General features: G+C 46.0%; 1 protein-coding gene across 7 annotated transcripts in view, besides 4 other annotated features; it reads right to left on the reverse strand.

Moving 5' to 3' along the window:
- The window catches only part of ROR2 (receptor tyrosine kinase like orphan receptor 2), a 227,628-nt gene that overhangs the window by 155,290 nt on the left and 52,286 nt on the right, over positions 1-20,052 (reverse strand). Inside the window, exons 2-3 of one of the 7 annotated variants that reach the window (XM_047423435.1) lie at positions 8,778-8,880; positions 5,368-5,493 (exon numbers count right to left, since the gene is read on the reverse strand). The exons of 4 other annotated variants lie outside the window; for them this stretch is intronic. The gene's annotated coding sequence lies outside the window, so the exon portion shown is untranslated. Of the gene's footprint in view, positions 1-5,367; positions 6,585-8,777; positions 8,881-20,052 lie in introns of those variants that run through there. 2 more of the 7 variants (XM_047423436.1, XM_047423434.1) reach the window with 2 other exon arrangements.
- Positions 7,587-8,170: an enhancer, noted in NCBI's record as "H3K27ac-H3K4me1 hESC enhancer chr9:94647759-94648342 (GRCh37/hg19 assembly coordinates)". NCBI's record gives its function as "activates a minimal SCP1, AML or CMV promoter by ChIP-STARR-seq in primed H9 embryonic stem cells {active_cell/tissue: H9 hESC(primed)}" and the evidence as "EXISTENCE:reporter gene assay evidence [ECO:0000049][PMID:30033119]".
- Positions 8,171-8,754: an enhancer, noted in NCBI's record as "OCT4-NANOG-H3K27ac-H3K4me1 hESC enhancer chr9:94648343-94648926 (GRCh37/hg19 assembly coordinates)". NCBI's record gives its function as "activates a minimal SCP1, AML or CMV promoter by ChIP-STARR-seq in primed H9 embryonic stem cells {active_cell/tissue: H9 hESC(primed)}" and the evidence as "EXISTENCE:reporter gene assay evidence [ECO:0000049][PMID:30033119]".
- Positions 8,755-9,336: an enhancer, noted in NCBI's record as "OCT4-NANOG-H3K27ac-H3K4me1 hESC enhancer chr9:94648927-94649508 (GRCh37/hg19 assembly coordinates)". NCBI's record gives its function as "activates a minimal SCP1, AML or CMV promoter by ChIP-STARR-seq in naive H9 embryonic stem cells {active_cell/tissue: H9 hESC(naive)}" and the evidence as "EXISTENCE:reporter gene assay evidence [ECO:0000049][PMID:30033119]".
- Positions 16,634-17,216: an enhancer, noted in NCBI's record as "NANOG hESC enhancer chr9:94656806-94657388 (GRCh37/hg19 assembly coordinates)". NCBI's record gives its function as "activates a minimal SCP1, AML or CMV promoter by ChIP-STARR-seq in primed H9 embryonic stem cells {active_cell/tissue: H9 hESC(primed)}" and the evidence as "EXISTENCE:reporter gene assay evidence [ECO:0000049][PMID:30033119]".

Genomic DNA, 20,052 nt, shown 5'->3' on the forward strand with positions numbered 1-20,052 from the left:
GGAGAAGGGTTATAAATAACTCAAGGTATTCTTTTCCCCAAAGATAATCAATTATTTTCTCATCAAAAGGAGGCTAACAAAGAAAGGGTTTAAGGATGAGGACCCCATAATTTATGTAAGCCTCCAGCTTTAACAAGATTTCCAGAGTGTTCAGAACTTCACAGGGACCCAGTACTGGCTCTGGCTTCCTCCAGCAAATGGAATATTTATAGCAGCTGAGAAATCCTTTCATTGCTAGGAAAAAAAACACCCTAGAGTAGCCCTTAGATGGGATACATTCATTAAATTCATTTAATCTGCACACTGATGTGGGGCAAGGGAAATGGCAGGAAGCAGGTAAGAATGAAAGAATTTTGCCTCAACAGATCAAAATTGCGCCCTCCCTTTCCTGGGCTTCAGGGTCCTGGGCTCCTTCGCACCTCCATGGCCCTTCTTCTCCACCTGGTGAGGATGATTCACCCCTCATGGTCAGCTCCTGAGGCCAGACTCTTCTTCTGCAAAGCCTTCCCAGCCTTGCCTGGCAGAAGTGGGTTTTTTCTTTAGGTCCTCATGGTGTTTCATGCAAACCCACCTGAGAGCATCTCCCAAGTTATTCATTTCTTGGACTCTTATTATAAAATGTAGTTTCCTAAGGACAGAGTCTGGGTTTATTCATTGTCAGTAATCCCAGAAGCTCCCCCCTTGCACATCCAGTGCCTGGCTGGGCTCAAATTGGTCCAGTTCACCTCTTTGGAAAGCCACTTGGAGGCTGAAGCCAAACCATAGCCCATCATTCTCTGAGAAGCACACTCAGCGGAAAGAGCCCTTACTCCTTACAGACCAAAATTAAAACCCAACTACACTTCCAGAATCCCCCAACAAGAAACTCATTACAGAAAAGCTGCACTTTAAGAAACAAAGACGGGGGCCGGGCGCAGTGGCTCACGCCTGTAATCCCAGCACTTTGGGAGGCCGAGACGGGCAGATCACGAGGTCAGGAGATTGAGACCATCCTGGCTAACACGGTGAAACCATGGTGGCAGGCGCCTGTAGTCCCGGCTACTCAGGAGGCTGAGGCAGGAGAATGGCGTGAACCCGGGAGGCGGAGCTTGCAGTGAGCCGAGATCGCGCCACTGCACTCCAGCCTGGGCGACAGAGCGAGACTCCATCTCAAAAAAAGAAAAAACAAAACAAAACAAACAATAAAAAAAAAAAAGACAAATCCAAACAACATTGTTCCCAAAAGCCACAGAAATTGGTCAAACATGGGAAAAGGATCTCTTAATGGGTGCATCACCAAACGGACATAGGGCTCCATTTCCAGGAAGGGAGATGAGTAATCGGAACAGACTGGGCCACTGCACCACACCAAGGGCCTGGCCCAGGAAGACCTCCACCTTGGTAGGGCCTTGGAGGTTCAGGGAAAGTGATGATGTCCTTATAATGTTAAAGACAGAGGACAAGCAGTAAGAGAGAATGCTGATCCCTTTTTCTTCTCTACTTCCTTTTTCCAAAGTTATCTTTTATTTATTTTCTGAGTGGGAGTGGGTGTGGGTGTGTGGGTGTGGGGGGGTGTGTGTGTGTGTGGACACATGAAACAAAATTCAAAAGTCACAAGAGTGAAAGACTTTCTTCTACTCTTTTTCCCCAGCCACCCATGTCCCCCACTGCAGAGGCAATAACTTCAGCTTTCTTTAAATAATTCATAAACCCTTCAACACTTTTGATATACACTCACGCACTTATGCAGGTACCTGAGCAGGAGGTCAGCTGGGCCTTGGAAGAGCCCACTCTCTTCCTTCTATATATTAAGTAATGCAACATCAAGGTATGCCCACCAAGAAACAAATCCCAGGAAAAGCCCAGGGTCTAACCAAAGTCTGGGTGCAGCAGACTAAGTGAACACCTCATCGTGTATCTAGACAGTCCTATTAACTTAGACAAGAACTGCAGAAAGTCTAGTTCCAACTCCTTCCACGTGTCCATCTTTGCTTAAAATCAGAGCTTTTTGCCTCTGCTTGCACTCATTTTTTCTGAGAAGATTCTCAGAAATGTTAAGGAGGTCAATACTAAGTTTTTCATCACAGTAGAAGTCAACAGATGTTACTACAATACAAAGCATAGCTCCTAATTATTATCGGCTGAATTGTGACCTCCAAAATTCGTATGTTGAAGCTGTAACCTCCCATAGCTCAGAATGTGACTGCATTTGGAGACAGAACCTTTGAAGAAGTAATTAAGCTAAAATAAAGTCATCAGGGTGGGCCCCAATGCAGTATGACTTGTGTCCTTATAAGAAAAAAAAAGGACACACACACAGTAGGATGACCATGTGAAGACACAGGGTGAAGACACCATCTGCAAGCCAAGGAGAGAGGCCACAGGAGAAACCAGCCCTGCTGAAACCTGGACCTCAGACTTCTGGCCTCCAGAACTAGGATGAAATAAATTTCCATTGTATAAGCCCTTAAGTCTGTGGTGCATTGTTACAGCAGTCCTAGCAAACTAATGCCGTAATAAAATATATTTAAAGCATTTGTAGGTGCATCAGCTATAGATATTCCAAAGCAGGATTATAACCCACTGGATAAAACAGTAGTGCTGTGAGCACACTAATACAAGTAAATCCATGAATATAGTGAGAGCCTGATGAGGTTGACGGTTTCCAAGAACCTCCCCACCAAATACCAAATGCTGATTCATTTGAAAGGGAAGGCCTAACAGATGCCACCTCAGCCAGTCAATCTCATCAGTTAGGGGACAAAGTGACCCTGTGCACCATTCAAAAACAGCACTGAAAACGATTTCTACAACATTGTTTCTGCAATGGGCCTGCCCATATACAAAGCCTGATAAACAGAAGTTGTGGGATTTCCTACAAAATAACCTGCCTGCACTCTTCAGAAATGTCAAGGTCATGAAGGTCAAGGGCAGGCTGGGAAATGTTCCAGACTGGAGGAGACTCCAGAAGCACAGAGCCAAATGACCCTGCAGTGAATCCTGCTGCTCAAAGGGACATTACTGGGACTGCTGTTGCAACTGTCCAGATTGGGGTCTGATGGTGGTCATGCATCTGTTCTAATTTTGTGATTTTCATGATGGTTGTATTAGGATTATGTACAAGAATGTTCTTGTTTGTAGAAAATACATACTAAAGCATTTTGGGGGTAATGGGACATCTTGCCAGCCGCTTACTTTCAGATGGCTAGAGGGGGGAGAAGGAACTTCCATATACTCTACTTGCAACTTTCCAGTAAGTTCTGAACTTCACAAATATAACTTGGAAAAACTGAAAAAATCCTACATATTGAAAACGAGTGGAGTGTTTGATCTGTTACAGGAAATGGCACTTGACTAGATAATATGCAACCATTAAAATTGATTATTATAAAAACACCAAGTAGGTAACAAGAAAAACATGTTTATGAAATAAAACCATGTCAGTATGATCACAAATGTGTTAAAATGCTAGTACAATGAGTCCTATGTCCTCACTTGACATCATTGATAAGGTTCTTAGAAACTCCAACTTTAAATGAAATGACATACTGTATGCTGCAAGAACTTAACTCTTGTTTATATCTGTTAGTGTATGGTAAAATCAGTTTTGTTATACAGTATGTCATTTCACTCGAAGTCGCAGTTTCCAAGAGTCTATCAATGCTGTTAAGTGAAGACTTACTGTTAGTACTCCTTTTTTGATGGTGAGTTATCTCCAGCAGCATAGTTACAAATAATTTTTGTTTCCTTATTTATACTATTTTTCTTCTAAATACTGACATACATGTATTAATTTTATCATGAGGTGAAAAAATTAGGGAGGACGAGCACTCCTGAGCTATCAGGCCTCATTAGCGAAGGTGATTAGCAAAGACAAAACAAGACCAGGGGAATTATCACACGGAGAGAGGGTTTGTAGAGAAAAGCCCGACAGGGGCAAAGAACCTCCTGAGATGAAGAAGGATGAGGGGAGAAATTCGAGGAAAAGCACTGAGGCATCTGAATTTTGAGGGCTTGAAAGAAAGTTCTACTAAAGGAGTAGGAGGGCAGGCGAGGCCCTCAGGCTGGGCAGCAGTATGTGTCGGGCATCTATCTAGCTGGGCAAATGGAGTGTAGGGTTCCACACAGGAGCCACCTCTCCTTGTCATGTACAGGGAGAAGCCTGAGGAGCCTACAATTAGGACAGTTTGGTTCCTGTCCTTTCGACCTTGAATGAGAACCCAGAGCTCACAGCTCAGTCTATAGAACTAGCCTATGACCAGCCAGGCACGGTGGATCATGCCTGTAATTCTAACACTTTGGGAGGCTGAGGCGGGTGGATCTTGAGGTCAGGAGTTTGAGACAAGCCTGGCCAACATAGTGAAACCCTATCTCTACTAAAAATACAAAAAATTACCCAGGCATGGTGGCGGGTGCCTGTAATCCCAGCTACTAGGGAGGCTGAGGCAGGAGAATCACTTGAACCCAGGAGGCGGAGGTTGCAGTGAACCTAGATCATGCCATTGCACTCCAGCCCAGGCGACAATGTGAGACTCTGTCTCAAAAAAAAAAAAAAAACTAGCCCATGACCAAGACAATCCACTCCCCATGAGAGCTGGAAGGTGGTCTCCAATTGACCATGAAGAGGCAGTGAAAATGCTGAACGAAAAAATATATACAACAAGCCTCCACTTATCAAAAGGTCAAAAACAGGCAAAACTAAGCAATCTGCTGTTTATGGATTGTTATGAACTGAATTGTGTCTCTCCAAAATTGTACCTTAAAATCCTAACCCCAGGACCTCAAAATATGACTGTGTTTGGGGATAAGGTTTTTAAAAGAGTAATTCAGTTAAAATGAAGTCATTAGGGTGGACCCTAATCCACGAAGACAGATGTCATAAGAAGAGCAGATGAGGACTCAGACACAGAGAGGTGCCCACGTGAAAACAGAGGGAGAAAGGCGCCATCTGCCAGCCAAGGAGAAAGGCAGGAGAAGTCACCCCTGCTGACACCTGATCTGGGACTTCCAGCCTTCAGAACTGGGAGAAAGTAAATGCCTGTTGTTTCAGCAGCCCAGCCTGTGGGACTTCGTTATGGCAGTCCCAGAAAACTAATAGAGATATATACTACAGGTTGAATATTTCTAATCTGAAACAAGAACTCAAAGTGTTTCAGACTTTGGAACATTTCAGAGTGCCAACATGATGCTCCAAGGAAATGCTCACTGGAGTACTTCAGATTTCGGATTTTTGGATTAGAGATGCATAACCTGTATGTATGGTACAAAACCCAAATCTGAAACACTTCTGTTTCCAAGCATTTCAGACTAAAGGATAGTTGGCCTGTCCTATATGGCAAAACTACAAAGTACAGGAATTATTAACACAAAACAGAGGACCATCACTACCTTGGAAGACGAGATCCAGAAAGCTTCACAGGAACTGGGGATGAAGTTCAATCTCTTCAACAGGGTGGGAGTCACTCAACTTGTTCATTTCATCACTCTTCATGTTTCCCACTCACATTTTCTTCACTGTTTTGTACGGATGATATAAAATTATTAAGGTGATAGATGGAGCTCTGTAACAGCACTGTCCAATATAGTAGCCACTAGCCACATGGGGCCCTTTACATTTAAATTAATTAAAATCAAGTAGTAAGATCAGAAATGCAGTTCTTCATTCACACTAATCATATTTCCAGTGCTCAATAGGGACATGTGGCTGCAGGCTACTGATTTGGACATGACAAATATAGAACATTTCTATCATTGTAGAAAATTCTATTGGACAGTGCTGCCCAACAGAATTTGATGGACAAGAGGCCTTGGAATGAGACTCCTACGCACCAGAACCCTCTCTCACTCCAAACAAGAAACACACCCCACCCACTGTACTACTGCCCATCACACCTCTGAAGTGTCCTTGCAGGAAGTTAGTGAATCATTTCCAACAGAGCCCTTGCTAGCGCTTAAATCACCACCAAAATCCCTTCCCCTTCCAAGGTCCTGGTGGCCTCGGAACCCCCTTCTCAGCCCCCTACCCAGGGCCCCTATCTAGCATGAGTTGCATCTGGAGGTAAAATCTCAGGGGATTTCACACCAATGCAGTGCCATGTTATGGCCATTGAGACAAGTACACAAAAGAAACCCAGAGAGAAAGCACACTCACCATCCTACCACGGAGCTAGAACCAAAGCTCACTCAACAAAAATGGAGCTGAAGGAGTCACCAAAGGGAAGCTCTGTACTTCTGAAGTCAAGGTACTTGAGTACTAATCCCTTTCTTTTCTCTCTGGTTTCACCAATCTGATCATCTGTCAATTAGGTTTCAGTTTGACCTGTCCCTCATTCAACACCATCTCATAAAACCCACCTCTCCTGTCTGTGTGATGGCTTCTGCTGAAATACATCCAAATAAACACAGGCAGCAACAGACCAGCCAAGGCTGTTCAGATAAGCATTTTAGATCTCAACCAGCAGGGATGTGTGTTGGTGGGTACCCCTGTGACAGGGAGTCTCAGTCTCCTCCAGGAGTCATGGGGGGTGGGGGGAGGCTTCAGGCATGACTTGTCTAATTGGCCTACAAAAAGAATTACTTACTCTCCACTTACCTTTGATTACCTTTAAAAAAAAAAAAAAAGGCTTGCGGGGGGCCTTCTAGGTACAGAAATTCTGTATTCTCCATTCCCCAATCCCCAGGCCTGGTTTTCTAAGATAATTTTTAATATTGCCAGAATATTAATGCTGAAGGGTTTTATCTAAATCTTCTCCCTGATCTGACGATATCTGACAAACTCATTACTCTCTTGGATTTTTGGCTGGAACTGGAGCTAACACATCCTGCGGGCTGTCATACACATTCAAGACTCTTCCCATCCACAGACCATAACATGTCTCCATTTCCAGTTTGGCAAAATTTTTTAGTCTTTTTTTTTTCTAAATGAATGTCAGGATATAATCTGGATACATATTAACATGCACAGAACTGAGTCCAAAAACGCTTTGAGGCCAATTTTTAAAATCATATTTTCTAAATTAAGTCATCAACTTCCTGTGCTGGGAAGTGATCAGTTGGTTGGGGAGACCATTTTATTGCCTTAACTTGGTATTTTCTGTGTTATCACTGCAAGCTTACAAAGCCTTAAGAACTTAAAGCCTCGCGAACTTAAAGAGCTAACAAGCCTGTGTGTGGCTCACGAACCCCACCCCTGGTAGTTCTCAGAACCCAACATTGCAAAGCCAGCAGCTCTCTCTAGTTCCCACCTTTCTCCAAAATATTCTCTGGAAGGCATGAGCCTCTGCATCCCAATTCTCTCCCATTTGTCAATCAAACCCAAGGAAACTCCTTTCCAAATGGCAGTGTGGCCTGCAGCTGGCCAGAGAACAAAGCGGGAAGGCAAACAAAGAGCAAAGGGCACCGGAAAACTTTAAAAAGGAGCCTTTGTTGAAGCTTTGGGGGTTGGGGGGCGGTAGGGCAGGGTGTGGAGGGAGATGGGGATGTCTATCACTCCAAAGGCCCTACTGTGGGATCTCCAGGCGGGAATAACCATCCTTCAAGGGCTTTGCTTTTAATAAAACCTAATTCTCAGCCCATTATCTCCATTCCTTGCACAGAGTGGAGGGGCTTGGGATTCCCCAGGACTGAGCAGCGTGTGGCTCCCGCCTGGGCCTGCACCAGGGTGGCTATGACATGGGACCTAAGGGAAGGAGAGGCCAAATGCCTGGGTGAGACCGAGATCTGGAAACATGCTGGTCCCCGCCAAAATGTAATTCCAAATAGAAATAACAGGGAACCCTAAAAGTGATCTACAAAAGCCCTGCCCCAAGGTTCTGATTTTTCTCCCACATGACCACTGTGATGCGTTTAAATCAAATCAACGAATCAAAATACCTAGGTCTTATCTAAATCCTGTTGAATAACACACAAAATAAAACAAAACTCATGAAATAAACAGGAAAATGTGAACTGTGAATATTTTATATTAGGAAGTGCCTTTTTAAGTAGCAGTATGGTTTCCTTTTTTTTTTTTTTTTTTTTTTGAGACAGAATTTCACTCTTCTTGCCCAGGCTGGAGAACAATGTCGCAATCTCAGCTCACTGCAACCTCCGCTTCCGGGGTTCAAGCGATTTTCCTGCCTCAGCCTCTCCCGAGTAGCTGGGATTACAGGTGTGCACCACTACGTCCGGCTAATTTTGTATTTTTAGTAGAGACGGGATTTCACCATGTTGGTCAGGCTCGTCTCGAACTCCTGACCTCAACTGATCCACCCGCCTCAGCCTCCCCAAAGTGCTGGGATTACAGGCATGAGCTACCGCCCCCGGCCATGGTTACTTTTTAAAAGGCGCATTTATCTTCTGGAGACATAAAGATGCCATCTTAAAGGGGTTTCACATTTAGAGGAGCAGGAGAGGAGGCCATGTGAACAGCCCAGATTGTTGGAGCCAGCGGGGACCCACCAGGGCCATCATTCTCCCCCTCCCCTCGCCATTTCCAGGGTGCAGAGCTAGACAGAACTGGACCGACAGCGTGGGCCGGTAGACGTCGGCGTGTGTCTACACCACGGCCTCTGCACACCCACTTGCTTCCTCCCCACACCGCGATCTGTCTACACCAGGGTCTCTGCTTACACCACCGACTGTGCACCCACGCACGGCGCGGCAGCCCCTCCGCCCGAGTCACAGCCTCTTCCTGCCCTCACGAGGGGACCCGCGACCACCACTCCCCCGCCCCGCCCTTCCCGGCAACCCCCGGCCCGGGCTGCTCCGGAGGGTTAAGCTATCCCTGACCACACCGCCTCTACTCGGGAAATACAAACCAAATTCCGCTCCCGGGATGAGGTTTCTCTTCTCCTGAAGAAAATCAGGTTTTTCAGCTTGGGGGTGGGAAGGCCGTAATTGCAGGACTCAGGGGTGCTTTGCCTGCAGCAGGGAGATTCACAGATGAAAGGAAAAGATAACGTTACCTGCTGGGGCATCTTTCTTCTCACCACAGGTCACGAACCCACTACTTACCATTTAAGAGCCCGCAGGAGAGGATTCCTAGGGATATATAAATACAGACCCAGAAGGGACTCCCCTGACAGTCAGACTGCCTGCCGTGTCTTTTATCCAGGACTGTCGGGAAATACAACCTCTTCAAAAATCCCGAGTGAGGCCGCTTTCAACTTCTCTGGCTCCCAGAGCAGATGCACAAAGGCAAGGCTTGCTAGGACCCCTGCGGTCGAGGGCCTTGGGTTGCTACTCCAGGTGACAGCCTCCCATCCTAGGCAAAGGGTACATTCGTGGGGAGGAGGAAATCTTTTGAGAGTTCCATTTCTAACATCCAATTATTTGAAAGTTGCCATCGGTTTTATAGGTTTGGAAACACAGTATTTTAATTTGGTATGTAATATTTCAGATGCATTCCAAAAAAGTGAATGAACACACCAGGCCAAATGAAAGGCTTATTCTTTTCTCGAGCCCCCCTCCAATGGCACCCACAATCCTGAGTTTATATTAATATAGTACTTCCCTACAGTATGTATCCCAGAGCAGTACGCAAGATTTCCTTGCATAGGTTTAACCTTTACATAAATATCAAGCCTCCTACAACTTGTATTTCCTGCTCAATGCTAAGCTGTGAGATCTATGTTTGAACATGTGGCTCCAGTCAATAAATATATCACAAGTTTTTTCCCACTGTTCTGTGGGTGAACATTTGGGTTACTTGCAGTTTTTGCAAATTCCAAAGCTGTTATGAACATTCCCCTTATGGTTTCCTTGCGCCCTTATCTGAGGGGTTCTCTGACCTATGCCTGGGAATGCAATTGCACTGAGTAGGAGAAGCATGATTCAGCTTTTCCAGTAATTGCTAAATTGCCCAATAATGTAGGTATAACGGGGCGTACAAATTCAACGCCCTCCAGCAGCTTCTTCTCTCCATAACACTTTTTTTCTCTTTTTTTTTTTTTTTTTTTTTGAGATGGAGTCTCACTCTGTCGCCCAGGCTGGAGTGCAGTGGTGCCATCACAACTCACTGCAACCTCTGCCTCCCGGGTTGAAGCAATTCTCCTGCCTCAGCCTCCTGCGTAGCTGGGATTACAGGCACGAGCCACCACTCCCAGCTAATTTTTGTATTTTTAGTAGAGACGGGGTTTTGCCATGTTGGTCAGGCTGGTCTCAAACTCCTGACCTCGTGATCTGCCCGCCTCGGCCTCCCAAAGTGCTGGGATTACAAGCGTGAGCCACCATGCCCAGCCTCCATAACACATTTTTGCCAACACTTCGTATTGTCAGACTTCTATATTTTTGTAAATTTGATGGCATCAATGCTTTTTCTAGACTTTTGTGAATTTGATGTTACTTCCTTGTGATTTTAACTGTGTTTCCCAGGTTCATGAGTGTTTGGAAGGTCTCCTCCTAGTGAACTGCCTGTTTATATTTTTGAGATCCATTTATTTAGAGCATAGCTGAACATGGATTTAAAGACTTAAAGGTACAAACAATGGACTACAAACACCACTGCTCAATGGGAAGCAAATAGTGCCAGATTAGAGGACGCAGATGCAGGAACACACCTGGGTAAGAATCACAACCTCCTCTTCCACTGGACGCTGATACCCTCCTGCAAGACTCAATGAAGACACCATTTCATCCTAGATCTCTAGCCACTACTGCAAGACACTCCTAAAACTCCTTCCTGGCTTAATGTCTCTGTCCTACCCAGGAACAAGTGAAGCCAGGCTGGGATGCGATTGAAGCTGTAATCAACACTTCTGCCTCCCTGCCCATGCGTCCTCTTCCACTCTGCTCTCAGAGGGTGATCGAGGCCACACCACTTGCTCAGAAATGGCAGAATAAAACATGTGTCCATGTGCATTAATAAGAAACAAGGGGCAACTGGACAAAACGAGCAGGAGGAAATCACTGGCAAGACTGGAAAGGGGCTGGCAATGCTCAGAGACCTCTGGCTGGCTGTGTCCTGCACGGGAAGCAATGTCCTTTCTTTATTCACTCCTCTCTGCTGCCAAAGCCCACTCTAGTGTGACAGGCTGTCCACGAAGCAGGTTGGTGAGGTTCTTCCTTTTTTTTTTCATGTTTATGGCTCTTCCATTTTTTTCATGTTTATGGCTCTCCCATTTTTTCTTTGCTTTCTAACTGACTCTGAACAACTTCTTGGAAAAACAAATGATCACAGAATAACCTCATTTGGAAGAGAGACCGTGTAATAAAATAGAGAGCTGGAGCTTCATTCCCCCATGCCTAGCCAATAAAATACTAAATCTTACTTTCCAGTGAGACCAGTAAGAGGATTCCACAGTCCTGGGACACTTCCTGAGAGTGGGAACACCTGGTACCAAGGAAGGAGCAACCGCTGCCTGCAAAGCTGAAGCTGCCGAGTGTGGGACCCACTCCCAAGCCCTGAGTGAGGACAGGGACAAGGACAGAGGAGCCAGGAGTCCCAGGGCCCCAGGCACACAACGCTGGGCCACTGGGCAGATCACACCCTCAGGTGGACACACTGTGAAGGTGCCTGTCTCAAATCTATACCATGAAGGCGCCCCAATAGGACAGAGAAGGTATGTCCACACACACTAGACATACTGCATGCTAGACGTGGTTGGGGGGTGCCTCGGCGTCTCTGTTTCTGTTGCCAGGCGACTCCAGACCTAGAGCTGCTGACCCTCTCTGTGTGGACCCGGACAGACCCCCTCACTCTGTACAGGCTGCATAGCTGCCCACACCTACAGGGCGGGCCAGAAGACCACTACGGTCCCTTCCATCTGAAGCAGTCAGTGGGCTCATGACAAATGCCAAAGCCAACATCAGACGCCAAAACTCTCTGCACACAACACACTAACTCCCTAAAACTGGGCCAAGGACCTGGCTTTGGAAAGGCTAACTCAGGAATTTCTTGAAGTCCAAAAACTTAGCGCTAAGCTTTATAATCTACATTTGTGCACCCCGCCTCCTTGAGGAGCCTTCAGAGGGAGAAATGATATTGTTTTATGGCTGACCCACACGGAAGACACACTCTGCACAGCAAAAGGCTCCAGAATAATCCTGGCTTCGGCCCATAAGAACAGTGGGTATAATATTAGCGGGGAGGGGGTTACCATTCCTGTAGCCAAAGCTCCTGGCTGAGCCAACCAGAACAGGCAAAAAGTCTCCAGGGCTTTTTCTCCCACACTGACTGGACCCCAGGGCAGGGGAGTTAGTGGCTTCAGCCAAGTGAGTAGTAAGAGCCCAGTGAGGGTCAGAGGTGTTCTTAGGATGGATTGCTCTTTTCTTAGAAAATGGCAACTTCTTTCCCTCTTTCTGGAAGAAAGTCAGAAGAGAAAATCCAGAACCAGAGAGCAGCCCAAAGGGCCACCGATGGAGACACCAGCAGGACCAGCAAGGACCCACCTTGGGTACGGACCCAGGCACAGGGGCCAGGGAGCCACTGTCGGCCTCAAGCAGGGAAACGCTAACTGTGGAATGAACGAGTTCCACATAAGGAGGCAGGAATCTTCTCCTGTAAAGCTTTTTCTTCATTTCTTTTTCTTTGATATTCACTAAGAAGACTTCTCATACCTTTTGGGATTTTGATTAACAACAAACATAAGTAAGTGTTATGGTTTTCTTCTCGTAGACGCTGCACTCCTTATTAAACTTATAGATGCTGTACTCCTTATTAAACTTATTCCTAAGTGTTTTATAGTTTTTGGTTCAAAGAGGCCCCTAGCAATGCATCCGGAAGCTAATGGGTTTCCTATGTTAATTAACATGTGGCCACCTTGCTCTCCTTAAGTTTCAATAGTTGTCAGTTGATTCCCTTGAATTTTCCAGTTTATTACCTACAAATAGTGAGAGCTTGCTCTTATCTTTTCTAATTATCGTATTGGCTGGGACGACCAGAGCAGCACTGGACAGTAACGGTGACAACAGAAATCTGTATCTTCTCCTGTGTTTTACCTTGAAATGGAATATTCACTGAAGATCTTTGAAAGAATCCTTTTATGGAGTTAACTAGGCCTATTTTGCTAATGTCAGCAAAGAATGCTGACATTTAGCACAAGCATTTATAGCATCCACTGAGATGATTTTTCCCTCTAAAATTAAAATGCCCTCATGTGGATTTTTTTAATGCTGAACCATCCCAGAATTGCTGTTGTTCTTTTAACATAGTACCAGGGCTTATTTGCTAAATTCTATGCAGGACTTTTCCATCTCTATTTTCAAGTGTTCAGAGGGCATCTGTAGTTTGATATTTTAGTTTTCTACTGTTACATAACAAATTGCCTCAAACTTAGCAGCTTTTCTAAACACCAACTATGTATTAAGTTACGGTTCTGTACATCAGAAGTCTAAGAAGAGCATGGCTGGGTTCCCACCTCTTACACAGCTAAAAATCAAGTTGTCAGCAGGGCTGTTCCTTTCTTTTTTTTTTTTTTTTTCTTCTTTTGAGATGGAGTCTCACTTGTCACCCAGGCTGGAGTGCAGTGGCACGATCTCACTGCAACCTCTGCTCCTGCAACCTCCGCCTCCCAGGTTCAAGCAATTATGCTGCCTCAGCCTCCTGAGTAGCTGGGATTACAGGCACCCAACACCACTCCCGGCTAATTTTTGTATTTTTAGTAGAGACGGGGTTTCACCATGTTGGCCAGGGTGGTCTCAAACTCCTGACCTCTGGTGATCCACCTGCCTCGGCCTCCCAAAGTGCGGGGATTACAGGCGTGAGCTACCGCACCCGGCCCTAGCTGTGTTCCTTTCTAGAGGCCCAGGGAAAGAATCTTTTGCAGGTTCATTCAGGTTGTTGTCCATATTCCGTTCCTTTTGGTTGCAGGACTGCATCCCTGTTTCCTTGCTGGGTGTGGGCTGCAGCCCCTCTCGGCTCCTGGAGGCTGCCCACATTCCCGGCCCTGGGCCCCTCACCTTTAAAGCCAGCACAGGGGCTGGGCATGGTGGCTCACACCCGTAATCCCAGCACTTTAGGAGGCCAAGACGGGAGAATCACTTGAGGTCAGGAGTTCAAGACCAGCCTGGCCAATATGGTGAAAACCTATCTCTACTAAAAATACAAAAATTAGCCAGGCGTGGTGGTGGACACCTGTAGTCCCAGCTACTTAGGAGAATGAGGCAGAAGAACTGCTTGAACCCAGGAGGCAGAGGTTGCAGTGAACCGAGATCGCGCCACTGCACTCCAGGCTGGGCAACAGAACAAGAATCTGTCTAAGAAGAAAAAAAAAAAAAAAAAAAGCCAGCACAGGCACATCAAATCCTTCTCACAGTTTCAATCTTTGACTTCCTGTCCCAACCTCTAGGCCCAGATTTTAAGGGCTCCTGTGATGAAGCCAAACTGGCCAGATAATCTCCCTTTCTAAACTCACCGTGCCACACAACACAACCTAGTGATGAAAGGGAAACCCGCCATCAGCACATCCTTGGGTAGGGCCCTAGGTAAGTGCACCGGCAGGTGGGAAACTTGGGGCATCTTCAAATTCTGCCATCGTCTGCAGAAGGGCAGAGCAGCCTGGGACAGAACCCCAGTTCCTGGCACCCTGGCTCCCACCTTGGGCAAGTCCCTTACCCCGCCCATGCCTCAGTTTTCTCATTTGTTAAGTGGGGTAACTCTATACCTATCTCAATGGGTTCTTGAGGGGATGAAACAGATTAAACTATATAAAGAGCTTACACCAGCACCTGACCTAAGTGTTGGATTTTTTTTTTTTATTTTACCTCAGAATGGCAGATTCTTTTTCTTTTTCTTTTCTTTTCTTTTTTTTTTTTTTTTTTCAGATGGAGTCTTGCTCTGTTGCCAGGCTGGAGTGCAGTGGTGTGATCTCAGCTCACTGCAACCTCCACCTCCCGGGTTCAAGCAATTCTCCTGCCTCAGCCCCCTGAGTAGCTGGGACTACAGGTGCCCACCACCACACCCGGCTAATTTTTGTATTTTTTTAGTAGAGACGGGGTTTCACCATGTTGGCCAGGATGGTCTCAATCTCTTGACCTCGTGATCCACCCGCCTCAGCCTCCCAAAGTGCTGGGAATACAGGCGTGAGCCACCATGCCTGGCCACAGATACTTTCTCTTTTGTACTATCCTTGTGAGGGCCTGGGGTCTATACTATAAAGTACATTGATGAATTTACAATCATTTTTAAACGTCTGCTCAACAAAAGAAACCAAGGGTGAAGTGAAAAGTCCACCTGTGGTAACCATGGGAGCAAGCTTCTCAGACCTCTCACTGCAAGGGGACACTGAGTCAGGACCCCAAGGCCACTCTTCCCACAGACAAGGACATTCCAGCATGCCTGGCACTGGAAGATACAGGACACCTCTGATGGCTAGCTTTGGCTAGGAGACACCCCTGCCGACTTGGCCAGACAGAACCCCAGGCTGAAGCTGGGCATGGTGGCTCATGTCTGTAATCCTAGCACTTTGGGAGGCCAAGACAGGAGAATCTAAAAATACAAAAATTAGCTGGGTGTGGTGGTACACGCCTGTAGTCCCAGCTACTCAGGGGGCCGAGGCAGGAGAATTGCTTGAACCAGGAAGGCGGCGGTTGCAGTGAGCCAAGATCATGCCACTGCACTCCAGCCTGGGTGGCAGAGTAAGTGTGACTCTGTCTTAAAAAAAAAAAAATTTGCAGGCTGAGGTCCTTGCACCAACCCTTCTTCCCCACACCCCTCCACTGGGGGACACGCCTCACGGCAGGCTGGTGACTCTCCCAACAACCCCTGCCTATTCTTCCCATTTTACTCATTTTAGTCATTTCCCTAATAAATGTTTTGCACCTCTAATCCCCTTTGGGAGTTTGCATCTCAGAGGGCCCAGACTAATACACCACATATGTAACAGAAGATATTCACATCCAAGACTCCTTCAACGGCCAGTGCCTCTCCCTCTACCTTCAAACTGTATCCCGCCACTGATCAATACTCCATACCACCCATCCAATCCGAGCCACCATCCTCTCCCCTGCCACACTCTCCTGCCATTTCGGAGAGACTTTTTACCCAAAATAGCATAAAATTTACCATCTTAACCATCTCTAAATGGACAGTTCTGGGGCTTTAAGTACATTCACACTGTTGGCAACCACCATCACCATCTATCTCCAGAATTCTTTTCACTTTGCACAACTGAAACTCTGTACCCATCAGAGGGTGTTTTTTTTAGCATAAAACTAAGTCACAACATTCCCCTGCTGAAAGCCTTCCAAAAGCTTCCCAATGCACACAGGATGAAATCCAAGTTCTCACTGTGGCCTACACAGCCCTTGTGACTGGTCCCTGCTCCCCAACTCCAGCCCCGTCACTCTCCCAGCACCCACCTCTAGGTTCACTGGCCCCTGCTCTTCCTTGAACACACCAAGCTTGCTCCAGCCACGGGGCCTTTGCACTGGCCACTCCCTCTACCAAGAAGTCTCTTCTCTCAGACATGCCAATGCTTGGGTCCCTTGTTCCCCACCTTCGTTTGCACAAGGGGCCTCAGCCTCATCTGATCTCCCCTGGCATCATAACATGTGTGTCTGCTAACTGATTAACACGGATTTTAGATTACCATTGAGGAGAAAAACATAATGAGCTTAAACTTTAAGGGGAAGGGAGCATATAAATTCCTATTTCTTGGTGTCCAGTGAGGCAATTTCTCTAATGGGAACCAGAAGCAGAGAGAGTAAGAAACATGCTGATGTGAGCAGGCACATTCGAGGTATAAGAAACTGTCAAGTGATTATTCACTTCTGTTGGCTGTGCAAAAACACAATGAGTTTAAACTGAACATTCTCACAGAGAACTTGTGAGTGCCCAAAATATGCCCAGAACTATAGTTTTAAACATCAGATGCCCTGGGCATTTCCATTGTTATTCTTGAGAGTGGAGGGGAATTCTGTCCTTTCCAGTTCCTTCAGTATGCTTAATTATTTCTCCCCTGAAAGTTCCTCCTATCCAAAACACTGATGACACCAAATGCTGGGAGGATGTGGAGCAACAGGAGGTCCCATTCACTGCTCATGAGAATGCAAAATGGTACGGCCACTGAGGAAGACAGTTTGATGGTTTCTTACAAAGCTAAACACACTCTTACCCTATGTTCTAGCAATCACACTCCTTGGTATAAGGAGATGAAAACTTATGTCCACACAAAAACCTGCACAAGGATATTTACAGCAGCTTCATTCATAATTGCCAAAACTTGGAAGCAGATGTCCTTCAGCAGGTAAGAGGGTACACAAATTGTGGTACATCTAGTGGATGAAATATTCAGCACTAAAAAGAAATGAGCTATCAAACCATGAAAAGAGATAGAGCAAACTTAAATGCCAATTGCTAAATGAAAGAATCCAATCTGAAAGAACTACATACTATATGATTCCAACTATAAGACATCTAGAAAAGGTAAAACTATGGAGTCATGTGATTGCCAGGGATTGGGGAGGAAGGGATGAATAAGTGGAGTACAGAAAATTTTTACGGCATTGAAAAATATCTGTATGATACTATCATGGTAGACACATATCATTTTACATTTGTTCAAACCCACAGAACATACAGCACCAAAAGTGAACCCTAAGGTAAACTATGGACTCTGGGTGATAATGATATATCAATATAGGTTCATCAACTGTAGAAAACACACCACTCTGGTAGGGGATGTTGGGCAGGTTACAGGGAATATGGGAATTCTCTGTTCCTTCATCTCTATTTTGTTGTGAACCTAAAATGTTCTAAAAAATAAATCTATTTAGGCCAGGCACGGTGGCTCACGCCTGTAATCCTAGCACTTTGGAGGCTGAGGCGGGCGGATCACTTGAGGTCAGGAGTTCAAGACCAGCCTGGCCAACATGGTGAAACCCCATCTCTACTAAAATACAAAATTTAGGCGGGCATGATGGCAGATGCCTGTAATCCCAGCTACTCGGGAGGCTGACACGGGAGAATTCGCTTGAACATGAAAGACGGCGGTTGCAGTGAGCCGAGATCGCGCCACTGCACTCCAGCCTGGGCGGCTGAGCGAGACTCTGTCTCAAAAAAGAAAAAAGAAATACATAAATCTATTTAAAAAAATGACTCTACTCTTAATTGGTAATTCAGGCATTTGGTGATACAGGGAAGCCAAGGTCCCTCCATGTCACCCGCGTGCCAGTACCTCCCACCAGACACCTGTGGCAGCTGAGACTGCTTGTGTATCAAGAAAACTTGAGCCCATGTCACAATCTTTCAAAAATATTCAAACAGCCTCCATCTTTGACAAATGCCCAAGGTTAATGTTGCAAAAAAGGATGAAATCCATAGAACACATTACTGGAAAAGTTTTCCAAAATCTGTCTTCCTTCCTCTAGAAGAGAAATTCACGCAGTGCATACAATATTGTGAAGATGAAAAAGCAGCATCACCCTAGACCATCTCTCCTTAGACTGCGTGTCCTTCCTTGCCAGTGCCGCTCCACTGGGTATATTTGTAGCCCTGACTCTGTCTTGGCTGAACATCAAAGATGCAATCTTGGTTCCCCCGCTTCCCCACAATGCTGTCCTCATCCAGTTTATCTTCAGAAACACCACTTTAAAAACAACAGAATTAATTCTCCTCAGATCCCTATTTCTCCTCACAAGGTGATCAGATTCCAGGTTTTTCCTTCGGCTTCTGGAAAGATCTCACCATATCCGGATTTTGCGCAGCCAACAGAAGTGTGAATAATCACTTGACAGTTTCTTATACCTCAAAAGTGCCTGCTCACATCAGCATGTTTCTTACTCTCTCTGCTTCTGGTTCCCATTAGAGAAATTGCCTCACTGGACACCAAGAAATAAGAGACTTATCTGCCCCCTTCCCCTTAAAGTTTAAACTCATAAACTAGATGGGAGAAATGTTCACATGTATGTTGTAATCCCTTTTAAACTTACTTCTAAGGGCACTTTTTTTTTCATTTGGGCTTAGAACTGATTAAACAAAACAATGTTCTGTCCAAACCTGCATTTTTCTTATTACTTTCTAATCATTTTACCACCAACATAAAGGCCTGTTCTTTTCCAACACTGGGCTCTTTAATCATTCCTGACAGGCCTCTGCTTTCTGCTTGGCCAGGCCCCAGCAAACACCGTTGGGCTCCACCGCCCTCGGCTGCTCTCCCTAAGTCCTCTCTGCCCGGTAACACAGCTCATTTAAAGAGCGAGTGGGAGCAAAGGGAAGGAAGGGGAAGGCCCATGCTCCTCGTGAAAGCTCCTCTTCCGTGTTCGGTGCAATGCAGCACTGGCAGCTGGATGCACACGTAGACCCCGTAAGTGCATAGGAAGCACGGGTGGGTTGTGGAGCCCCACCCTTCCCCACACAGCACTGTGATCAGAATAACTGCTCCCAAATTAAGGGAAAGGCTGGGAGTTTTCGAGTCCCATTAAACTTGATAGTCAAGCTACTTATTAAAATTAGCAATTAAACTTATACAATTTAATTTTCAAAGTGAAATCAAACATGGTCTCTTGTTTTAGGCCAAAATAATCCCAAAGGGGAAGCAGGGAAGACATGCCTATCCCACTTGTACAGAGGAAAGAAGGTGATCCAGGTCTTCTGGCATGTTCTCCTCTAAGGCATTGCCAAAAGTTATGTGGTTAGTAAACGTTATAATAATAGTCTCATGGGGTTGGTGATAATGTCAATAGTTAGTACAACCTTCCATGGCTTTAGGAAAATTTTGTCATAAGAACAAAGTGATACTGGGTGATGCTCTGACCAAAGAACAGGATTTGGAAGTGGGTGGGGGGGTATTCCAGGTGGGGGGAACCACCTGGCCAAAGGTGTGAAGGCGAGCCTAAGATGTGGGGTGAGCTTGTGGAGCAGAAGACAGGTGGGCTGAGGACAGGCTTCCAGGCCCAGGGGCATCTCACAAAGGGGCCTGGGGAGGCTGCCTCACTCCAAGCCTCACCCTTCTTTCTAAATAAAAACACTCAAGAGAAATAAGTGGGATGTCCACACCAAAGTTCCAAAGGCAGCCCAGGCCCGGTCACCAAGACTTCCCTCCCTGAGGACGGGTCTGCTTCTGAGGGAGTCCCTGTGTGTATCATTGCATCCACCTGAGGATGTGTGGTGAGGAAGGTGGACATGTGGACAGAGAGTGCAGTCCCCCTGCCTGG

This window comes from Homo sapiens, chromosome 9, assembly GCF_000001405.40.
Source record: "Homo sapiens chromosome 9, GRCh38.p14 Primary Assembly".
NCBI classification, from domain to species: domain Eukaryota; kingdom Metazoa; phylum Chordata; class Mammalia; order Primates; family Hominidae; genus Homo; species Homo sapiens.